General features: G+C 43.1%; 1 protein-coding gene and 1 pseudogene across 5 annotated transcripts in view; one reads left to right on the plus strand and one right to left on the minus strand.

The window, feature by feature from the left end:
- RNF125 (ring finger protein 125) overlaps positions 1-19193 on the plus strand; it is a 71982-nt gene that overhangs the window by 2175 nt on the left and 50614 nt on the right. For all 5 annotated transcript variants that reach the window (NM_001436860.1, NM_001436861.1, NM_017831.4 and 2 more), the window contains exon 2: positions 16117-16270. In NM_001436860.1, coding sequence (NP_001423789.1) covers positions 16117-16270 — 154 coding nt within the window. The remainder of the gene's footprint in view (positions 1-16116; positions 16271-19193) is intronic.
- HMGN2P44 (high mobility group nucleosomal binding domain 2 pseudogene 44) lies at positions 11546-13446 on the minus strand (annotated as a pseudogene).

Below are 19193 nucleotides of genomic sequence, written 5' to 3' on the forward strand. Positions count from 1 at the left end.
TGCCCGTCTGTGAGCCAGGGACAAAAGTGTGCAGCCTGCACAATGTATAAATAAAGAGTGCTTTGGGCATTATTTCGTAGCTGTGTTTTCTTTTCTTTTGAGATGGAGTCTTGCTGTGTTGCCCAGGCTGGAGTGCAGTGGCACGATCTTGGCTCACTGCAAGCTCCGCCTCCCGGGTTCACGCCATTCTCCTGCCTCAGCCTCCCGAGTAGCTGGGACTACAGGTGCCGCCACCACGCCCGGCTAATTTTTTTGTATATTTAGTAGAGACGGGGTTTCACCGTGTTAGCCAGGATGGTCTTGATCTCCTGACCTCGTGATCTGCCCGCCTCGGCCTCCCAAAGTGCTGGGATTACAGGCGTGAGCCATGGAGCCCGGCCGTAGCTGTATTTTCAAGGCCTGTTGTTTCAGCTTTGTTCTTAAAACTCGAGGCTTAAATTTACCCTCCTTTCTATTACTGATGTTGTTGCTCAGCTGTCCAGATGTAGCTTATTAACATAATATCCACAGGCCAGTCTGGAAGCCAAGATGGGCTGTGTGAGTCATAAAATATATTGATTATTTTAGGGCAATAACAGCCTAAAGATATCTCCATTTAAATTGAGTCATTATTAGCATTAAAACTTTAAAGTTGTGCAAAACATAAACAGTGGGCGTTTTGAAGATTCTTTTTGGAACAGACCGCTTTGCTATTCAATGATCTGACTGGAGATTGTTTTCTCGGTTTGGACTTTGAATATTATAATTTACCATTTACAATATTTTTCCTTCTACTAAAGGATAATATAAATTTGCAAAATGTTAAATTTTTTGTTTAATCTTTTTCTTTGTTAAAGTGAATAGGAAACTAGCAACTGGAAAAATAGTCATAAAATAGCATTACAAGGGCTGAACAAATTGCCTTTCCTCTCTTTACTGTTCTTTGTTTTGACAAATCTATGTCCATTGTTCTGGCTGTGGGCAGAATTTCCATATTCCTCCTTTTGGCAAACTTACTTGGTCCCCTTCCACTTTATAAATGTTAACCAGAGTCCTTTCTGCAGTAGAGATTGTGAGCGTTAATACCATTTGTACATTCTAAATGAATTACTCTTTTCCATTGAAATTAAGTTGGAAAACGAATAAATGCAAATGAACCTTCTGTATTTTATTATCCCATATTGAAGCTACATTTTCAGACATGTTGAACTAGGTGGTTTATGCTGATTTTTGTTTGTAAACCTATTTCAAGTCAAACAAGTTTAATAATAACAACAGTACCTTGAATGAATATGTAAGAGCACTTTATAAGTTGTATTGTGATGCAGTAGTAACTGGCCCTTACAGAGAGCTGGATTTGAAATTCACCTCTGCCACTAGCCAGATGTGTGACCACTTTAGGGAAATTTGAATTTGATTTTTTTCCCCTAAAGTTTTGATCATTTGAGTCTATGAAACAAACTGCTAATAGATTAACAAGGGGGGAAAAGCTTACAAATGTATTAATGAGCATATGGGCATGGGAGTCATACAAAATATGAAAACTGAGAGAAAGGGCCAGATGCTTGATGCTTTTATACCATCTTGAGGTTACAGCAGAGTAGGGGCTTGGAACATGGTTATGGGAGGGAGAAAGAAAGAAGGGGCTGGGGCAAAGATGGTCTAGTTATGCAGATGAAACTTCATAGATAGCAGCTCCTAGAAAGAATAGGCATGAGCCTGTGTTAAGTTGCTCTGTCAGACCTTCGTAGGTGTCAGACTTTCAGTTAATAATTTCCTAGGTACAGATAAGGGGGTGCCTCCAAGAAAGCCTGGTTGTTTATTTCACCAGTGTAGATTTTCTCTACAGATGCAAGTCTCCTCCACAAAAGGCAGCTTTTCAGGGTTATTCCTGTGGGAATATATCAAAGAAGTACATTTTGGGGTGAAATATTTTCAGTTTCCTTTAGTCCCCCATTTAAAGCTTAATTTTTAAAACATTAAACATTTCCTTTATTTTTATTATTTATTTATTTATTTTTAGCGGTGAGATCTCACTCTGCCACCCAGGCTGCAGTGTAGTGGTGCAATCATGGCTCACTGCAGCCTCCACCTCCTGGGCTCAGCAATCCTCCTGCCTCAGCCTCTCACGTAGCTGGGACTATAAGTGCCTGCCACCATGCCTGGCTATTTTTCACTTATTTGTTTATTTTGAGATGGAGTCTCACTCTGTCACCTAGGCTGGAGGGCAGTGGCGTGATCTCAGCTCGCTGCAACCTCTGCCTCCCAGGTTCAAGTGACTGTCCCGCCTCAGCCACTCTAGTAGCTGGGATTACAGACATGCACCACCACACCTGGCTAGTTTTTGTATTTTTTGTAGAGGCAGGGTTTCGCCATTTTGCCCAGGCTGGTCTTGAACCCCTGAGCTCAGGTGATTTGCCTGCCTCGGCCTCCCAAAGTGCTGGAATTACAGGAGTGAGCCACTGCACCCAGCCAAGAAAGTGACAATTCTTTACATACCGCAAGGTCAGGATTTTGTAAGGGAACCATATACACAGGGTACCAGGCCAATCTTTTTCTAAGTCTGTTGGCTTTTTAATGTCAATTTCAGTCCCTCAAAACAGTTTGATCATGTATCTAAGTATGACATTCCAGTTAAAGCCTTGCTAAAATAACCACTGTCTCCAATTATGTCCTGTTCAGACTGTTACTGAACTTATGCATGTAACTATATTGCCATGAAATAGGAATACTCAAAACCCAGTTTGTGAATCCAAAGAGAAAAAGGTAAATTATTTTGCTCACAAAAGTATACTTGGCCAGGTGCAGTGGCTCATGCCTGTAATCCCAGGACTTTGGAAGGCCGATGCAGGAGGATGGCTTGAGACCAGCAGTTTGTGACTAGCCTGGGCAACATAGTGAGACCCCATCTCTACTACACAAAAGTCTTGTTCAAAAGAGAAAACCATATTTTACTTTTGAATCAGTATATCAATAATAAATTTAAATAAAACCTAATAAACAAGTCCATCCAATTTCAGTCAGCTTTGACCACACAAGATTTACATATCTTTTATAACCTCTTACGATTTTTCTTCTATTTCCAACTTTCTATATTCATTTAGTTTTATCTATATCTTTTTTTATTCTTTCAATTTGAAACAAGCTTCAAATAACTTCTAAACTAGACACAATTCGTTTTCCATTAACAAAAAAATCACACTTCATGCCATTCTTTTTTTTTTTTTTTTCTTTTTTTTTTTAAGATGGAGTCTCACTGTGTCACCCAGGCTGGCGTGCAGTGGCATGATCTTGGCTCATTGCAACCTCTGCCTCCCAGGTTCTCCTGCCTCAGCCTCCTGAGTAGCTGGGATTACAGGCGTGCACCACCACACCCGGCCTCATGCCATTCTTACAACCTTTCTCTCCAAGAACATATCTTGCTTTTTTGGTATATTCTGCCTGAAGAATTGTTTGTCTTATTTCTAGTAGTTTTATTTGTTTGTTTTTAGAGATATGATCTAAGAACAAACTACTCAGTGATGTGATCATAGCCTACTGCAACCTCAAATTCCTGGGCTCAAGCAATCCTCCTACCTCAACCTCCTGAGTAGCTGGAACAACAGGCATGCCCCACCACACCCTGCTAAAATTTTATTTTTTTATAGAGACAGGGTCTGCCTATGTTGCCCAGGCCAATCTTGAATTCCTAGGCTCAAGTGATCCTCCTGCCTTAGCCTCTCAAAGAGCTGGGATTACAGGCATGAGCACTCCCAAACTGCTGGGATTACAGGCATGAGCCACCACACCCAGCCAACTAACAATTTAAAACTAGCTTTATTGCTGGGCACAGTGGCTCACACCTATAATCCCAGCACTTTGGGAGGCCGAGGCAGGCGGATCACTTGAGCCCAGGAGTTGGAAACCAGCCTGGTCAACATGGCGAAACCTTGTCCCTACTGAAAATACTAAAAAATTAGCCGGGCATGGTGGCGCACATGGAGGCTGAGGTGGGAGAATCGCTTGAACCTAGGAGGCAGAGGTTGCAGTGAGCTGAGATCGCACCACTGCACTCCAGCCTGGGTGACAGATTGAGAGTCGTTCTCAAAAAAACAAAAACAAACAAAAAAACCTAGCTTGATTTACCAAAGATTACTAAAGTCATATGAACTTCGAAAAACATTTGGGATAGTTAATTTGTGAGTACTCATTTATTTAGAAGTCAGTTTGGTACTACAGACTATACAAACTCATGTGTAAACATATATATACATGTAGACACAACATATATCACATGCACACACCAGTATCCAAAAGCCAGAGAGATTAGGAAGTTTAATGCAGGAGAGCAGAACTTTAGACATGAGAGGATGGACCCTGCCCATGGCTTCTGTGGCTCAGTGAGAAGACAGAGGACCCCCAATGGCCAGGCGTGGTGGCTCACGCCTGTAATCCCAGCATTTTGGGAGGCTGAGGTGGGGGGATCACCTGAGGTCAGGAGTTCGAGACCAGCCTGCCCAACATGGCGAAACCCCGTTTCTCTAAAAATACAAGAAAATTAGCCAGGGGTGGTGGCAGGCACCTGTAATTCCAGCAACTCAGGAGGCTGAGGCAGGAGAATCACTTGAACCCAGGAGGTGGAGGTTGCAATAGCCGAGATGGCGCCACTGCACTCTAGCCTGGGTGACAAGAGTGAAACTCTGTCTCAAAAAAAAAAAAAAAAAAAAAAAAGAAGACAGAGGACCCCCAAAGAGGGGCGATTGGTGGCTTTTGTGTTTGTGTATGCGTGTGTGTGTGTGTTCCTCAAGGGGTCTCAGGGTTCACAGAAGTCCCCTCTAGGCCTCTTCATGTGGTATCAAAAATGGCAAAAAGGAGGAGGGGCAGAAGGGGAAGGAAATGGAAGAACAAGTCTTAGAGGAGCCAATTTGGGGAGATTTTAAGCTTTCAAAAGGCCAATACAGTTTTAGTTAGTAGGAGTCTGAGGAACAAAAAAAGGTCTAGTTGACTAAGAAGTTCCCAAGGGAGAAACAGGATTTGAAAGAGAACAGAGAATATCAGCTATTAATTAAGCTGGCTTTTGACCACAGAGCCATCTTTCTTAAAAAAAACTTTTTTTTTTTTTTTTGAGATGGAGTCTTGCTCTGTTGCCCACGCTGGAGTGCAACAGCGCAATCTTGGCTCACTGCAACCTCCGCCTCCTGGGTTCAAGCGATTCTCGTGCCTCAGCCTAAAAAATCCTTTTAAATATGCAAGCAGCAAACATTTTGTCCTCTGAGCACCCGGTCTTTTTTTTTTTTTTTTTTTTTTTTGAGATGTAGTCTTGCTCTGTCGTCCAGGCTAGAGTGCAGTGGCCCGATCTGGGCTCACTGCAACCTCTGCCTCCCGGGTTCAAGCAATTCTCCTGTCTCAGCATCCCGAGTAGCTGGGACTACGAGGGTGTGCCACCACACCCACCTAATTTTTGTATTTTTAGTAGAGAAGAGGTTTCACCATGTTGCTCTCAAACTCCTGACCTCAGGTGATCTGCCTGCCTCGGCCTCCCAGAGTGCTGGGATTACAGGTGTGAACCACTGTCCCCAGCCTGAGCACCCAGTCTTTTGTGGGAGCAGAGAGAATGGTAGCTGTGGCATTTCATGCTTCTTTTTCCCCAGACCCTCCCAGCACCCCCTCTTTAGGGGGTACCCACCTCTCCTCACCTGTTTGGTTCCCAGCTGTAGCAGGAGGTATGTCTCTCTGGCCCCGTAGAGGAAGCAGATTAATGGGGAAAAAGTTACTATCACACTCTAAATATAAACCAACGTTTTAACCAAAGGAAATAACTCAAAATCAAAACAAATAAGAACATTTGAGACTGAAACCAAGAAGCTCTTGATGGCTTCAACCAAGGTTTCCTAAGAGGGAGCAAAAGTTGCAACCCTTTCAAAATCCAGATCATTCCCTACAACAGCTTAAAGAAAGCAAGGTTTTGCCAGCCGCAAATGGGGTACAACCCACATTTTTGTCTGGCCATATTCTCTAGGGTTTAAGACAGAGGAAAACAACAGCTGGATGAGAGGCTTACAGAATGAATGGGTACCCCAAAGGTTAAGAAGTCATACAAATATAAATTCAAAACAATTCAAACTAATTTTTTCCAAGTATTTCTTTTATTTTTCCTTCCTGAGTTAAAGGATTTACATCTCCTGGGGTCTTGTTCCCTGAAAGGGAATTGAATCCAGGCTGCAGTGGTGAAAGTGCAGAATCCTTACCACTGGACTACAGGATGGAGTCTTTTTTTTTTTTTTTTAATTTAACAAATTTCATAAGGAATCTAAAGCATGCAATTTGAGTACAAAGGATTTTAACTTTGTTTTAAATCTGATTTCTACTTTTCAAAAATCTTGCCGAGGGAGTTTCTAAACCTGTATTCCTTTTGTATCTTTTCATAGGTACCAATAAGGTAGCTATTTAAGATGTGAGCTCTAAAAAGTTTTCTTTTAAATATAGCCATTCATTTATTTTAAAAGCGATTGAAACCAATACAAGAACTAATTTATATGTTTTTCTCTGTTGATCCAAATTTAGAAAGGGTAAAACACAGAGACTCATACCATCCACATTTGACCAGGCACTATAGGCAGAGATCGGAGAGGAGAACTGACTTGGTTAAAAAAAAATGAGTTTACCTTTCTTTGCTGGCTTTTCATCCGTTGTTCCAAGATCCCATTCATTGGCTCTAGAATGAACAAAATGACTTACATCCTGATCACAACACCAAAAATTTTTCTCCTAAAGATTCGATACTTTGAGTCTATAAAACAGGCAGATAACAGATTAATGGGATAAAAGCATACACATTTATTAATATGCATATGGGCGTGGGAGTCATACAAAATATGAAAACTGAAAGAAAGGGCCAGATGCTTGATGCTTTTATACTTGAGGTTACAGAAGAATGGGGGATTGCAAGATGGCAAGACAAGTTATAAGAGGGAAAAAAAAACATAAGGGGCAAAGCTGTTCTTGTTATACAGATGAAACTTCACAGGTAGAAGCTCTCAGAAAGAATGGGCAGTAGTCGGCCGGGCGCGGTGGCTCACACCTGTAATCCCAGCACTTTGGGAGGCTGAGGCGGGCGGATCATGAGGTCAGGAGATCGAGACCATCCTGGCTAACATGGTGAAACCCCGTCTCTACTAAAAATACAAAAAATTAGCCGGGCATGGTGGCGGGTGCCTGTAGTCCCAGCTACTCAGGAGGCTGAGGCAGGAGAATGGTGTGAACTAGGGAGGCAGAGCTTGCAGTGAGCCGAGATTGCACCACGGCACTCCAGCCTGGGCAACAGAGCGAGACTCCGTCTTAAAAAAAAAAAAAAAAAAAAAAAAAAAATAATAGGTAGTGGTTCATGATAAGTTTTTTTGTTAGACCTTCAAACGTTTCAGACTCTTGGTTAATCTCCTAGATTGGGCAGGGGAGACCTCAGAAAGCCTGCCTATTTATTTCACCAATGTAGACTTTCTCTACCAATGTAGACTTTTCTCTCCCCCACAACATGCAGCTTTTCAGGGTTTTTCCTTTCTGCAGGCCATCTCAATAGCCATCTCGAAGTATGTCAAATAATTATTTTTGGGGGTAAAATATTTTGTTTCCTTTTTTTTTTTTTTTTGAGATGGGGTCTCGCTCTGTTATTCCGGCTGGGGTGCTGTGGCGTGATCTCAGCTCACTGTAACCTCTACCTCCTGAGTAGCTGGGACTACAGGTGTGTGCCAACACGCCCGGCTAATTTTTGTATTTTTTAGTAGAGATGGGGTTTTGCTATGTTGGCCAGACTGGTTTCAAACTCCTGGCCTCAAGTGATCTGCCCACCTCAGCCTCCCAAAATGCTGGGATTACAGGTTGAGCCACCCTGCCCAGCCAATTTTCTTTACCACTAAGTTGCTTAATCTCTTTGAATCTCTGTTTCTTCATTTGTAAAATGGGGTGAGTAGTGCCATTTTTATGAATATTTAAAATGTAAAAGTATCCCATAGTAAAGGCTCAAAACATGGTTTCTCTTTCCTTCAGTCATTCCATAAGCAAAACCCCAGGAACAGATATTATTTCTTATCTCTGTATTTCTTTTGGAAGAACACTGTGCCATGAAAAGTTGATCTATGACATTTCTAAGATGTCTCATATAGCCTCACTTTTAGCTTAGTTCTTTTTCCTTTGGTGGACTTTAATTTAAGAAGTTTCACTTTAATGTTTTATAATTTTAAGTGAACTTTATTCATATTGCTGTATCAGTTGTAAAAAATAGATTTGAAGGAAGAGCCTTCTCACTTCTGCCTTATCTTCTATTAGAAAGCTGGGGTGAGAGCCACTAGATAACTTGGAGCTGTATAAATGGAACTTAAAAGGAGTCTGGAGGCTGGGTGTGGTGGTTCATGCCTGTAATCTCAGCACTTCGGGAGGCTGAGGTGGAACTGCTTGAACCCCAGAGTTTGAGACCAGCCTGGGCAACAAAGTGAGACCTCGTCTGTACAGAAAAAAAAAAAAAAAAAGCTGGGCATGGTGGGGCATGCCTGTAGTCCCAGCTACTCAGGAGGCTGAGGTGGGAGGATCACTTGAGCTCGGGAGGCTGCTGTGAGCAGTGATTGCACCACTGCACTTCAGTTTGGGTGACAGAATGAGACCCTGCCTCAAAAAAAAAAAATGATTTACATTCAAAGGAAATACTCAAAGACATTTGTTGTCAGATTGAAAACAGTAGATGCAAGGGAGAAAGATATCAAAGCCAACCACTGGGCTTTAAGGCTGGTGAATAAACGGGGTCAGAGAGACTGGCACAGGAGGAAGTGAGTGCACTCATGAATGGGCCTGCTGAATGTACAGCAGTCTGATAGGCAGATATCCAAATGGAAATATCCAAAGGCTCTGGAGGAATAGACTGGGGGAAAGAGATCAGGGCTGGAGACTGAGTTATCTAAAAAGCATCTAGAGGTTGAGAATGGGCTGAAGAGAGCTAAATGAACTGGAGCACACCATAAGAAAGAGCCAAGTCTCCATTGACCTCAGATACAACTGCTCTAAGTCATAGAATGTACCTAATTTTTATTTTTATTTTTTATTATTTAATTTAATTTTTTGAGCCAGTCTCGCTCTGTCACCCAGGCTGGAGTGCAGTGATGCGATCTTGGCTCACTGCAACCTCCACCTCCTGGTTCAAGCGATTCTCCTGCCTCAGCCTCCTGAGTAGCTGGGACTACTGGCGCATGCTGCCACGCCCAACTAATTTTGTATTTTTAGTAGAGACAGGGTTTCACCATGTTGGCCAGGCTGATCTCGAACTCCAGACCTCAGGTGATCCGCCCGCCTCTCCCTCCCAAAGTGCTGGGATTACAGGCGTGAGCCACCCTACCCGGCAGTGAATGTACCTAATTTTTAGAAAATGAAACTCTGTTTAGGATAATTCTGAAATACTTTCAGGTAAATGGATTGAAACGTTCAATTTGTGGTCAAGTATGAGCAGTAAAGCGTACATCAAATTGGTGGTTTCCTAAGTAGAGTCTGAGAGTCTTCCTGATGAGTTTTAAATTGATCCAGAAATATGCATGAGTGGCTTTCATTCTTACAGGACATTTGCAATCCCACTGTAAACCAAAAATAAAATTCTAAGGCCCCCAACCAACTGAATGGACCTTTCCTCTCTGCCAAGGGCATTCTAAAGTAAACCAGAAACACTAGTTCACGCCATGATGGGAATGGGTATTTATCAAATACTACAGACTGGGTAATAGATAAAGAAAAGAATCTTTTCAGCTCACAGTTCTGGAGGCTAGGAAGTCCAAGAGCGTGGTGCTGGGACCTGGCTAGGGTCATCCCCTGGTGGAAAGGTAGAAAGAAGTTGGCAGAGTGGGAAAATGCACGTGAGAGAGCTCGCTTATTATTTTATTATTTTATTTTTTAGAGATGGGGGTCTCACTATGTTGCACAAGCTGGACTCAAACTCCTGGGCTCAAGTGATCCTCCTGCCTCAGAGAGTTGGCTTTTATAGCAAAGCCACTTCTGCAAGAACTAGCCCACTCCTGTGATAACGGCATTCATCCATTCATCACAGTGGAGCCCTTATGACCTAAATGCCTCCTGAAGGTTCCACCTCTCAATACCACCACAAGAGGAACCAAGTTTTCATGCTTGAACTTTGGGGGGACACATTCATTATATCAGGCCTCCTGGTTATACAGGCACATTCATGGTCTTATATTTGTGACTTCTGCTTGTTACTGGGAAGAACTGAGGTTTCTTGAAAAGACTACAAAATTTGAGGCCCTACCCAAACTGTTTAAGGATCAGAGCACTACTGTCTGTGGCTGCATAAACTTGGCACGTTGCTACACTACTCTGAACCTTAGTTTGCCATCAATAAAATGAGGAGAAAGCACAGTAGCGTTTTATGAATTATTGTAGGAGCCTACAATAATAGGGGATAATGTATACAAGTGTCCGCCATAGGGCTCGGCACCAGTATTTGTATTCTGCTTGCATTGGCATACAACTCAAATTGTGGGAAAAAAAAAAAAAAAAAAAAAAAAAAGGGAAAACTGCTAGTTGACAAAAAAACAAAATGTTATCTGCTTGCCTCTAAATAATGTAAGCAAATAATTCATGTCAGAACCATAAGTGTTGTATTAGAAATGTTAATTGTGAGTTGAGCATTTGAACCATTTGTCATAAATTTCATTCAAGACTACATTTTGAGAACCCATTCTTAGAGACTCAGAGACATCCAAGGTCAGATTGTACCTTAGAACTTATAATTAGCTGAGATAGAAAGAAGTAAAATATGTATAGCAGAGAACTTAGATTTCTTGATCTTAAAATATTGATCTTCCCAACTGGGGTAGCTGTGGTAGTGGAATAAAAGGTTACTGAAATTTGGGTCAGAAAACCCCAGCTTAAGACCAACCAAGTTCAAGCACTTTCTTTTTTTTTTGAGAGAGAGAGATGGAGTCTTGCTGTTGCCCAGGCTGGAGTGCAGTGGCGCGATCTCAGCTCACTGCAACCTCTGCCTCCTGGGTTCAAGTGATTCTCCTGCCTCAGCTTCCCAAGTAGCTGAGACTACAGGCATGCACCACCACACCCAGCTAATTTTTGTATTTTTGTTTTGTTTTGTTTTGAGACGGAGTCTTCCTCTGTCACCCAGGCTGGAGTGCAGTGGCACGATCTTGGCTCACTGCATCCTCCGCCTCCCGGGTTCAAGTGATTCTCCCACCTCAGCCTCCCGAGTAGCTGGGATTACAGGCACCCACCACCATGCCTGGCCAATTTTTGGTATTTTTAGTAGAGATGGAGTTTCACCATGTTGGCCAGGCTGGTCTCGAACCCCTGACCTCAAGCGATCCACCTGCCTCAGCCTCCCAAAGTGTTAGGTTTACAGGCAGAAGCCACCATGCCTGGCTGTATTTTTTTTTTTTAGTAGAGACGGTTTCACTCTGTGTTGGCCAGGCTGGTCTCGAACTCCTGACCTCAGGTGAGCCACCTACCTCCCAAAGTGCTGGGATTACAGGCATGAGCCACTGTGCCTGACCAAGCTCAAGCACTTTCTATTTATGTGATTTTTTTCCCCCCAAGCCAAACTTTATCCAGCTTTATTAAAGATACTTTCCATAAACAGTCACAGTATTTCAAGCAGGACGTGGGCAGACAATCCTTAACAGTATGCAACAACTTTCAAACTCGCTTCTTCAATGGACTACCAAAAAACATAAAGCCACTTTAAAACCCAGTGGAGGGCCGGGCTTGGTGGCTCACGCCTGTATAATCCCAACTACTTGGGAGGCTGAGGCAGGAGAATCACTGGAACCTGGGAGGCAGAAGTTGCAGTGAGCCGAGATTGCGCCATTGCAGCCTGGGCGACAGAGCAAGACATCTGGCAAAAAAAACCAAAAAAACCCAAAACAAAACGAAAAAACCCAATGGAGTATTCATTTGATACTCTGAACAAGAAAGTTTAGGGTGAGGGTTGACATTTCACATTTAGCATGTTGTTTAACATGAGCCGACCCTGACTTTCAGGGAGTGAAATGAAAATGGCAGAATTTGTCTGACGATACACAATGTAGAAATTGAACCACTGCTCTTTTGAGGAGCCCCATCTCAGTGGCATCACTGGAAAGTCCAGATTGCCTGACATGCTGGTAACCAATTATTGGGGGCCAGTCCCCAACAGGTGTGTGGGTTTAACGGAGTTAAGTTTATGCTGAAGATGGAAAGGGAGAAGAGGACATAGGAACAAATTTGTTTTTCCATACCACAAGGCTGTTGTGCCAAGGTGTCTGTGTTTGTCAAAGTCAGGGAATCCCTTCTCCTGGGAGCCAAGAGGAAGCCTCTCAAAACTAGAAGGGAACACCAGCCTGGCCAACATGGTGAAACCCCTCCTCTAGTACTAAAAACACAAACATTTGCCGAACATGGTGGCACATGCATGTAATCCCAGCTGCTTGGGAGGCTGAGGCAGAATTGTTTGAACTCAGGAGGTGGAGGTTGCAGTGAGCTGAGATCATGCCATTGCACTCCAGCCTGGGCAACAAAGCAAGACTCCACCTCAAAAAAAAAAAAAAGTCTGGGCACAGTGGCTCATGCCTGTAATCCCAGCACTTTGGGAGGCCGAGGAGTGCGGATCACCTGAGGGCGAGAGTTTGAGACCAGCCTGACCAACATGGAGAAAACCCGTCTCTACTAAAATACAAAATTAGCTGGGCGTGGTGGCGCATGCCTGTAATCCCAGCTACTCAAGAGGCTGAAGCAGGAGAATCATTTGAACCTGGGAGGTGGAGGTCGCGGTGAGTCAAGATCTTGCCATTGCACTCCAGCCTGGGCAACAAGAGTGAAATTTCATCTCAAACAAACAAACAAACAAACAAAAAAGTAGAAGGGAAAGGTGTTTTCCCCACATCAATCCAGCTTCTAGACGTTCTATTAGTGACAGTGACTGATATCCCATCCCCAGAAAACAACAATGAAGTGTTCTGTGTGCTAACAACATACCTTTAAAAAAAAAAAAAAGAAAACCAAATACTGCATTTTTATAAAACTTGATAAAAAATAGTATTTCAAACTGTACAGTCACCACAAGTACATAGTTATCACAGATGCACACACTTGACCTGGCACCTCCAGCACCTTGGCTTCCTGTGCCTGGTCTGTTTAGGCATCTGCATTCTCTGCAGGGTTATTCCCCTCCTTGCCACCATCAGTTCTTCCCTTTTTCTCTTTGGGTACCTTCTCTCCCTTCTTTGCAAGGGTCTCCTTAGACTTGGCTTTGGAGAAGCAAGTTTAACAGACAACCTCGCGGATCTTCTCTGTGGTTCATCCTTCACCTTGGCGTTATCTCCTTAGCATCCCGCTCAGTCTTTCTCTTGAGCAGGGCGGCAGCTGCAGCGGGACATAAGCCCTGGGTAAGGGATGCAACAGCGCATAGGTTATAGTCGGTCTGGGGGTTGTTCTTGCTGCTTCTTCACACTGTTCCTTTACGTGATCTTGCAGAAGCAACTTACCCTGTATGTGCCTTGGTTTCCTTATCTATAAATGGAAATAATGATCTTTCTTGGGAGTGTATTAAGATTAAATGAATTAAGGTATATGGAAGAGTTTTTAAAAACTTTGGTAGAGAACCAGTGTATCAAGCTTGAAATTAGACATAAAAAATTACTGGCCGGGCACAGTGGCTCATGCCTGTAATCCCAGCATTTTGGGAGGCTGAGGCGGGCAGATCACTTGAGGTCAGGAGTTCAAGACCAGCCTGGCCAACATGGCGAAACACAGTCGCTACTAGAAGTAAAAAAAAATTAGCCGGGCATGGTGGTGCACACCCGCAATCCCAGCTACTTGGGAGGCTGAGGCAGGAGAATTGCTTGAACCTGAGAGACGGAGGTTGCAGTGAGCCGAGATTGTACCTGGGCAACAGAGCGAAACTCCATCTCAAAAAAAAAAAAAAAAAATTACCATACAATAACAAAAATAGCTAAAAGGAAAGGGTAGGAACCAAGGCAGATATGGAGTTCTACGTAAAGGGAGAAAAGTTCCATCTGGTTGCTACTGAATCTGTCATTATGTCACTGTGTGCAGTGTTCAACTTCCAGAGACATGGTCTATACTTGACTTGGCTTGCCAGGTGCTCATGCCTTCAGCAGGAGTTGGTAGGCACCTTGATTTAGGTCCCACTGAGACTATATGTAATATAAGAGGTATTGTTCCTGAAGAACAAGAGCAGGATGCTATTGCAAGAAAAAGGAGGAATGGATGCTGGACAGGTATAAACAACAAGTAGATGTCTCAATCACTGCACAAGTGAGCATCCTCTGTGTGCTTATAGTAATTTGATAACAGATGCAGAAGAGAATACTGTTACGAATCAGTCATGATCCAAGCCAAATTCAAACATAATAAGAAAAAAATAAAGAGGAAAAAAATCGGTAGTGACTAATATAATTAGGAGTTAAAGAGGAAAAGAAGAAGAAGAATTGTTTGGAAAATAGCTGTGCCTGCCCATCACTAAAGTTTATCATCAGCAAGTATTTAAATACTACCCAGATGTCCATTAACAACAGAAGGGTAAATAAATTTGGGTGTATTCATACAATAGACTTCACAAAATTAGAATGGACAATCTCAACTATATACAACAATATAATGAATCTTTTGACCATAATATTGAGCTAAAGAAGACCAAGAATACATACCAGAGGGTTCCATTTATAGGAAGTACAGAAACAGGCAAAACTGATCTTTGTTATTAGAAGTCAATGATTAGCACCACCAAGGATGGTAAGCAGGGATGAGAAAGCTGCAGTCTATAGGCTGGTACAATGTTTGAAAAGTATAATTTTCATATGTTAAAATACATTTTAAAAAGTCAGTGATTACTTTGGAGGGGATAGAATTGTGTCTGGAGGCCGGGCACAGTGGCTCACGCCTGTAATCCCAGCACTTTGGGAGGCTGAGGCAGGTGGATCACCTGAGGTCAGGAGTTCGAGACCAGCCTGACCAACATGGTGAAACCCTGTCTCTACTAAAAACACAAAAAATTGGCCAGGCGTGGTGGTGGGTGCCAGTAATCCCAGCTACTTGGGAGGCTGAGTCAGGAGAATTGCTTGAACCCAGGAGGTGGAGGCTGCAGTGAGCTGAGATCGTGTCATTGCACTCCAGCCTGGGTGACAAGAGCAAGACTCCATCTCAAAAAAAAAAAAAAAAGAGAAGGAAACAAGAGGGGAAATTTTAGGGGCTGGCCACGCTGTTTTTGTTATAGGTACTGGTTATATGGATGTGTTCAGTTTTGAAATTTCATTCAACTATATGCTTATAAGAACTTTCCAGTATGTACAGTATACTTAAAATTTAAAAAGCCTACCTTTGGACATGTATTAATACTCCCAAATAGATATTATGTGCTGAGTAGTTTAAGAGGCATCAGGTCATGCTCATGTGTATAAATTACCCAAATGCTCATTTTTATTTCTATGTTTATGGAGTCTTCAACAACTCCTATAAATAGGTCAGAATTTTCTGGAAATGTTGATTATGTTAAGATTTCATAATGAGCACCTTTAAATAAACCAGAGAACATATTTCTTGACCAGAAAGGAAGGAAGGAAGGAAGGAAGGAAAGGAAGGAAGGAAGAAGGGAGGGAGGGAAGGAGGGAGGGGAGAGGGGAGGGAGGGAGGGGAGAGGGGAGGGGAGGGAGGAAGGGAGGGAAGGAGAAAATGGTTTTATAGGGAATTATAATGTGTCTGGTATTTTTACTTCCTTGACTTCCTGCTATTTTCTTATGTGACACACAAAACCCCACAGAAGAAAGACATATTTTCTCAAGAAATTTGAGGTAAAATCCAATTTAGACATTCTTTAAAGTATCGTTTAAACTTAGCCTATAGGAAAGCTATTTCACCCACTTTGAATTCTTACTTTTCTTGAAATGTGTGAAAGTGCATGTGGTAAGAATGTGTGATTCTAAAGAAGTCTTGCTGGGAAGGTAAGCAATTCTCGGGAAGTGCAGGGTGCAAGTGGACCTGTAATTTGGTAGTATGGCTCATGGGGTACGAGGTGTCATTAAATTACAGTTTACACAAATGAATACATGGTGGTGGCTCCTTATAGCTTTCAAGGAAAGTGATGTATTTTTGGTCTGTTTGGGGTAGATTCTGCCGTTCCTGTATTGCTACCAGTCTAAAGAACAACAAGTGGACCTGTCCTTATTGCCGGGCATATCTTCCTTCAGAAGGAGTTCCAGCAACTGATGTAGCCAAAAGAATGAAATCAGAGTATAAGAACTGCGCTGAGTGTGACACCCTGGTATGTATGTGACCCCACCTATTTTCATGGTTACCAGCTTAAGTCCCTGCGAAAGTTATCATTTCACCTCTGCTTCTGACCCCATGGTACGCACCTTTTTTTTTTTTTTTTTTTTTTTTTGAGACAGGTTCTCGCTCTTTCACCCAGGTTGGAGTGCAGTGGTGCGATCTCGGCTTACTGCAACCTCCGCCTCCCAGGTTCAAGTGATTCTCCTGCCCGCAGCTTCTCGAGTAGCTGGGTCTACAGGCACCTGCCATCACGCCTGGCTAATTTTTTGTATTTTTAGTAGAGACACGGTTTCACTATGTTAGCCAGGATGGTCTCAATCTCCTGACCTCATTACCCGCCTGCCTCGGCCTCCCAAAGTGCTGGTGAGATGTGAGGCCAGCTGGACTTCCCGGGTAGAGTGGGGACTTGGGAAACCTTCCTGTCTTACAAGAGGATTGTAAAACACACCAATTAGCGCTCTGTAAAATGCACCAATCAGTGCTCTGTAAAACGCATCAATCAGTGCTCTGTAAAGTGCACCAATCAGCACTCTGTAAAACGCACCAATCAGCAGGATTCTGAAAGTAGCCAATCGCAGGGAGGATTGGAAAAACTGCACTCTGATAGGACAGAAACGGAACATGGGCGGGGACGATAAGGGAATAAAAGCTGGCCACCCCAGCTAGCAGTGACAACCGGCTTGGGTCCCCTTCCATGTTGTGGGAGCTTTGTCCTTTTGCTCTTCACAAGAAACCTTGCTACCACTCACTCTTTGGGTCCGTGCCATTTTTTTTTTTTTTTTTTTTTTTGAGACAGAGTCTTGCTCTGTCGCCCAGGCTGCAGTGTAGTGGCGCCATCTCGGCCCACTGCAAGCTCCGCCTCTCAGGTTCAAGTGATTCTAATGCCTCAGCTTCCCGAGTAGCTGGGACTACAGGCATGTGCCACAATGTCTGGCTAATTTTTTGTCTTTTTAGTAGAGAGAGGGTTTTGCTATGTTGGCCAGGCTGTTCTCAAACTCCTGGCTTCAAGTGATCTGCCCACCTTGGCCTCCAAAGTGCTGGGATTACAGGCGTGAGCCATCTCACCCAGCCTCCAATTTCATATATGTACATATATCATCTGCAGAAAACCCTGAACTTCTACCATCACCCGTAATTTGTCAAACAAATGCTTTCATTGACCACCTCCATTTTCCCTTCTTCCCATTACTCCAGTGATCCTCTATGATATGTCCTCCAGTTCTGCTACTCTGTTGCAGACCACTAATGAATAGCTTTATTATCAAACCCAGTGACATATTTCCACCTGTATTGATCTGGACTTTGCAGTATTTGTCTCTATCAAGCACACCTTGCCTGTTGCAGTTTTCAACTTGGGTACTATATCAGCTTCCCCAGATCATGTGAGGTCTTGAAGGTTATGTAGAAGATTCTAGATTTTATCTTAAATGCAATAGTAAGCCAGAGAAAGAGAGTAAGTTTTGGAGTGCCAAGATCGGGCTTATATCTTTATTTTTATTTTTATTTGAGACAGAGTCGCACTCTGTTGCCCAGGCTGGTGTGCAGTGGTGCGATCTCAGCTCACTGCAGCCTCCACCTTCTGGGTTTAAGCGATTTTCATGCCTCAGCCTCCCGAGTAGCTGGGATTACAGGGGCCCAACACCACGCCTGTCTAACTTTTGTATTTTCAGTAGAGACACAGTTTCACCATGTTGGCCAGTCTGGTCTTGAACTCCTGACCTCAGGCGATCTGCCCGCCTCGGACTCCCAAAGTGCTGGGATTACAGGCATGAGCCACCATGCCCAGCCCAGGATTGTATCTTTAAGATATCACTCTAACATACACATAGAAAATGGTTTGGAGGCCAGGCGCAGTGGCTCATGCCTGTAATCCCAGCACTTTGGGAGCCCGAGGCGGGAGGATTGCTTGAGCTCAGGAGTTCAAGACCAACCTGGGAAGAGACCTTGTCTCTACTAAAAATCAAAAAAATTAGCTGGGGCATAGTGGTATACGCCTGTAGTCCTAGATACTCCAGAGGCTGAGTAGGAAGAGCGCTTGAGCCCAGGAGATCAAGGCTGCAGTAAACTATGATCGTGCCACTGCACTCCAGCTTGGGCAACATAGCAAGACTCTCTCAACAAAAAAGAGGAGCTGGGGAGAGGATCATGTTCATGTTCATGTTAGAGGGTGGTTTTAAAGGTAAATGATAAATATATATGTGATATATATATAACTGATGATTGTCTTTTAACACAGTGTCTGGAATATAGTAAATGCTCAAAATTAATAGCTTTTTACATTCTTAATAATAGATTATTGCCTATTTTTACTTTGTCTTCACATAAAATTCATACACAAAATCAAACTCATTATATTGTTTAATCATCCAATTCTTGATCCCACCTTGGTGTCTGTCAGAAACAAGAGGATTCTCTCAATTAACTTGTGTGGAAATCCACCACTCCCCCTCCCCCATTATCTGATTAATCACAAAGATTTTGATTTTTTTCTTTGAGATACTTTTTTTTTTTTTTTTTTGAGATGGAGTCTCACTCTGTTGCCCAGGATGGAGTGCAGTGGTGTATGATCTTGGCTCACTGTAACCTCCACTTTGCACGTTCAAGAGATTCTCGTGCCTCAGCCTCCCGAGTAGCTGGGACTACAGGCATGCACCACTATGCCCGGCTAATTTTTGTATTTTAGTAGAGACGTGGTTTCACCATGTTGGCCAGGCTGGTCTTGAACTTCTGACCACAGGTGATCTGTCCACCTCGGCCTCCCAAAGTGCTAGGATTACAAGTATGAGCCACTGCGCCCAGCTTTGAGATACTTCTTATATTCTGTCTTTTCCTTTCTGTGTTATCCCTCTTTCTAGGAATGCTCCCCATTCCTTCTACGCACATTTTGCCCTCTCCATGTTGCACTCTCTGTGTTC

The sequence above is a fragment of the Homo sapiens genome, chromosome 18 (assembly GCF_000001405.40).
Source record: "Homo sapiens chromosome 18, GRCh38.p14 Primary Assembly".
NCBI classification, from domain to species: domain Eukaryota; kingdom Metazoa; phylum Chordata; class Mammalia; order Primates; family Hominidae; genus Homo; species Homo sapiens.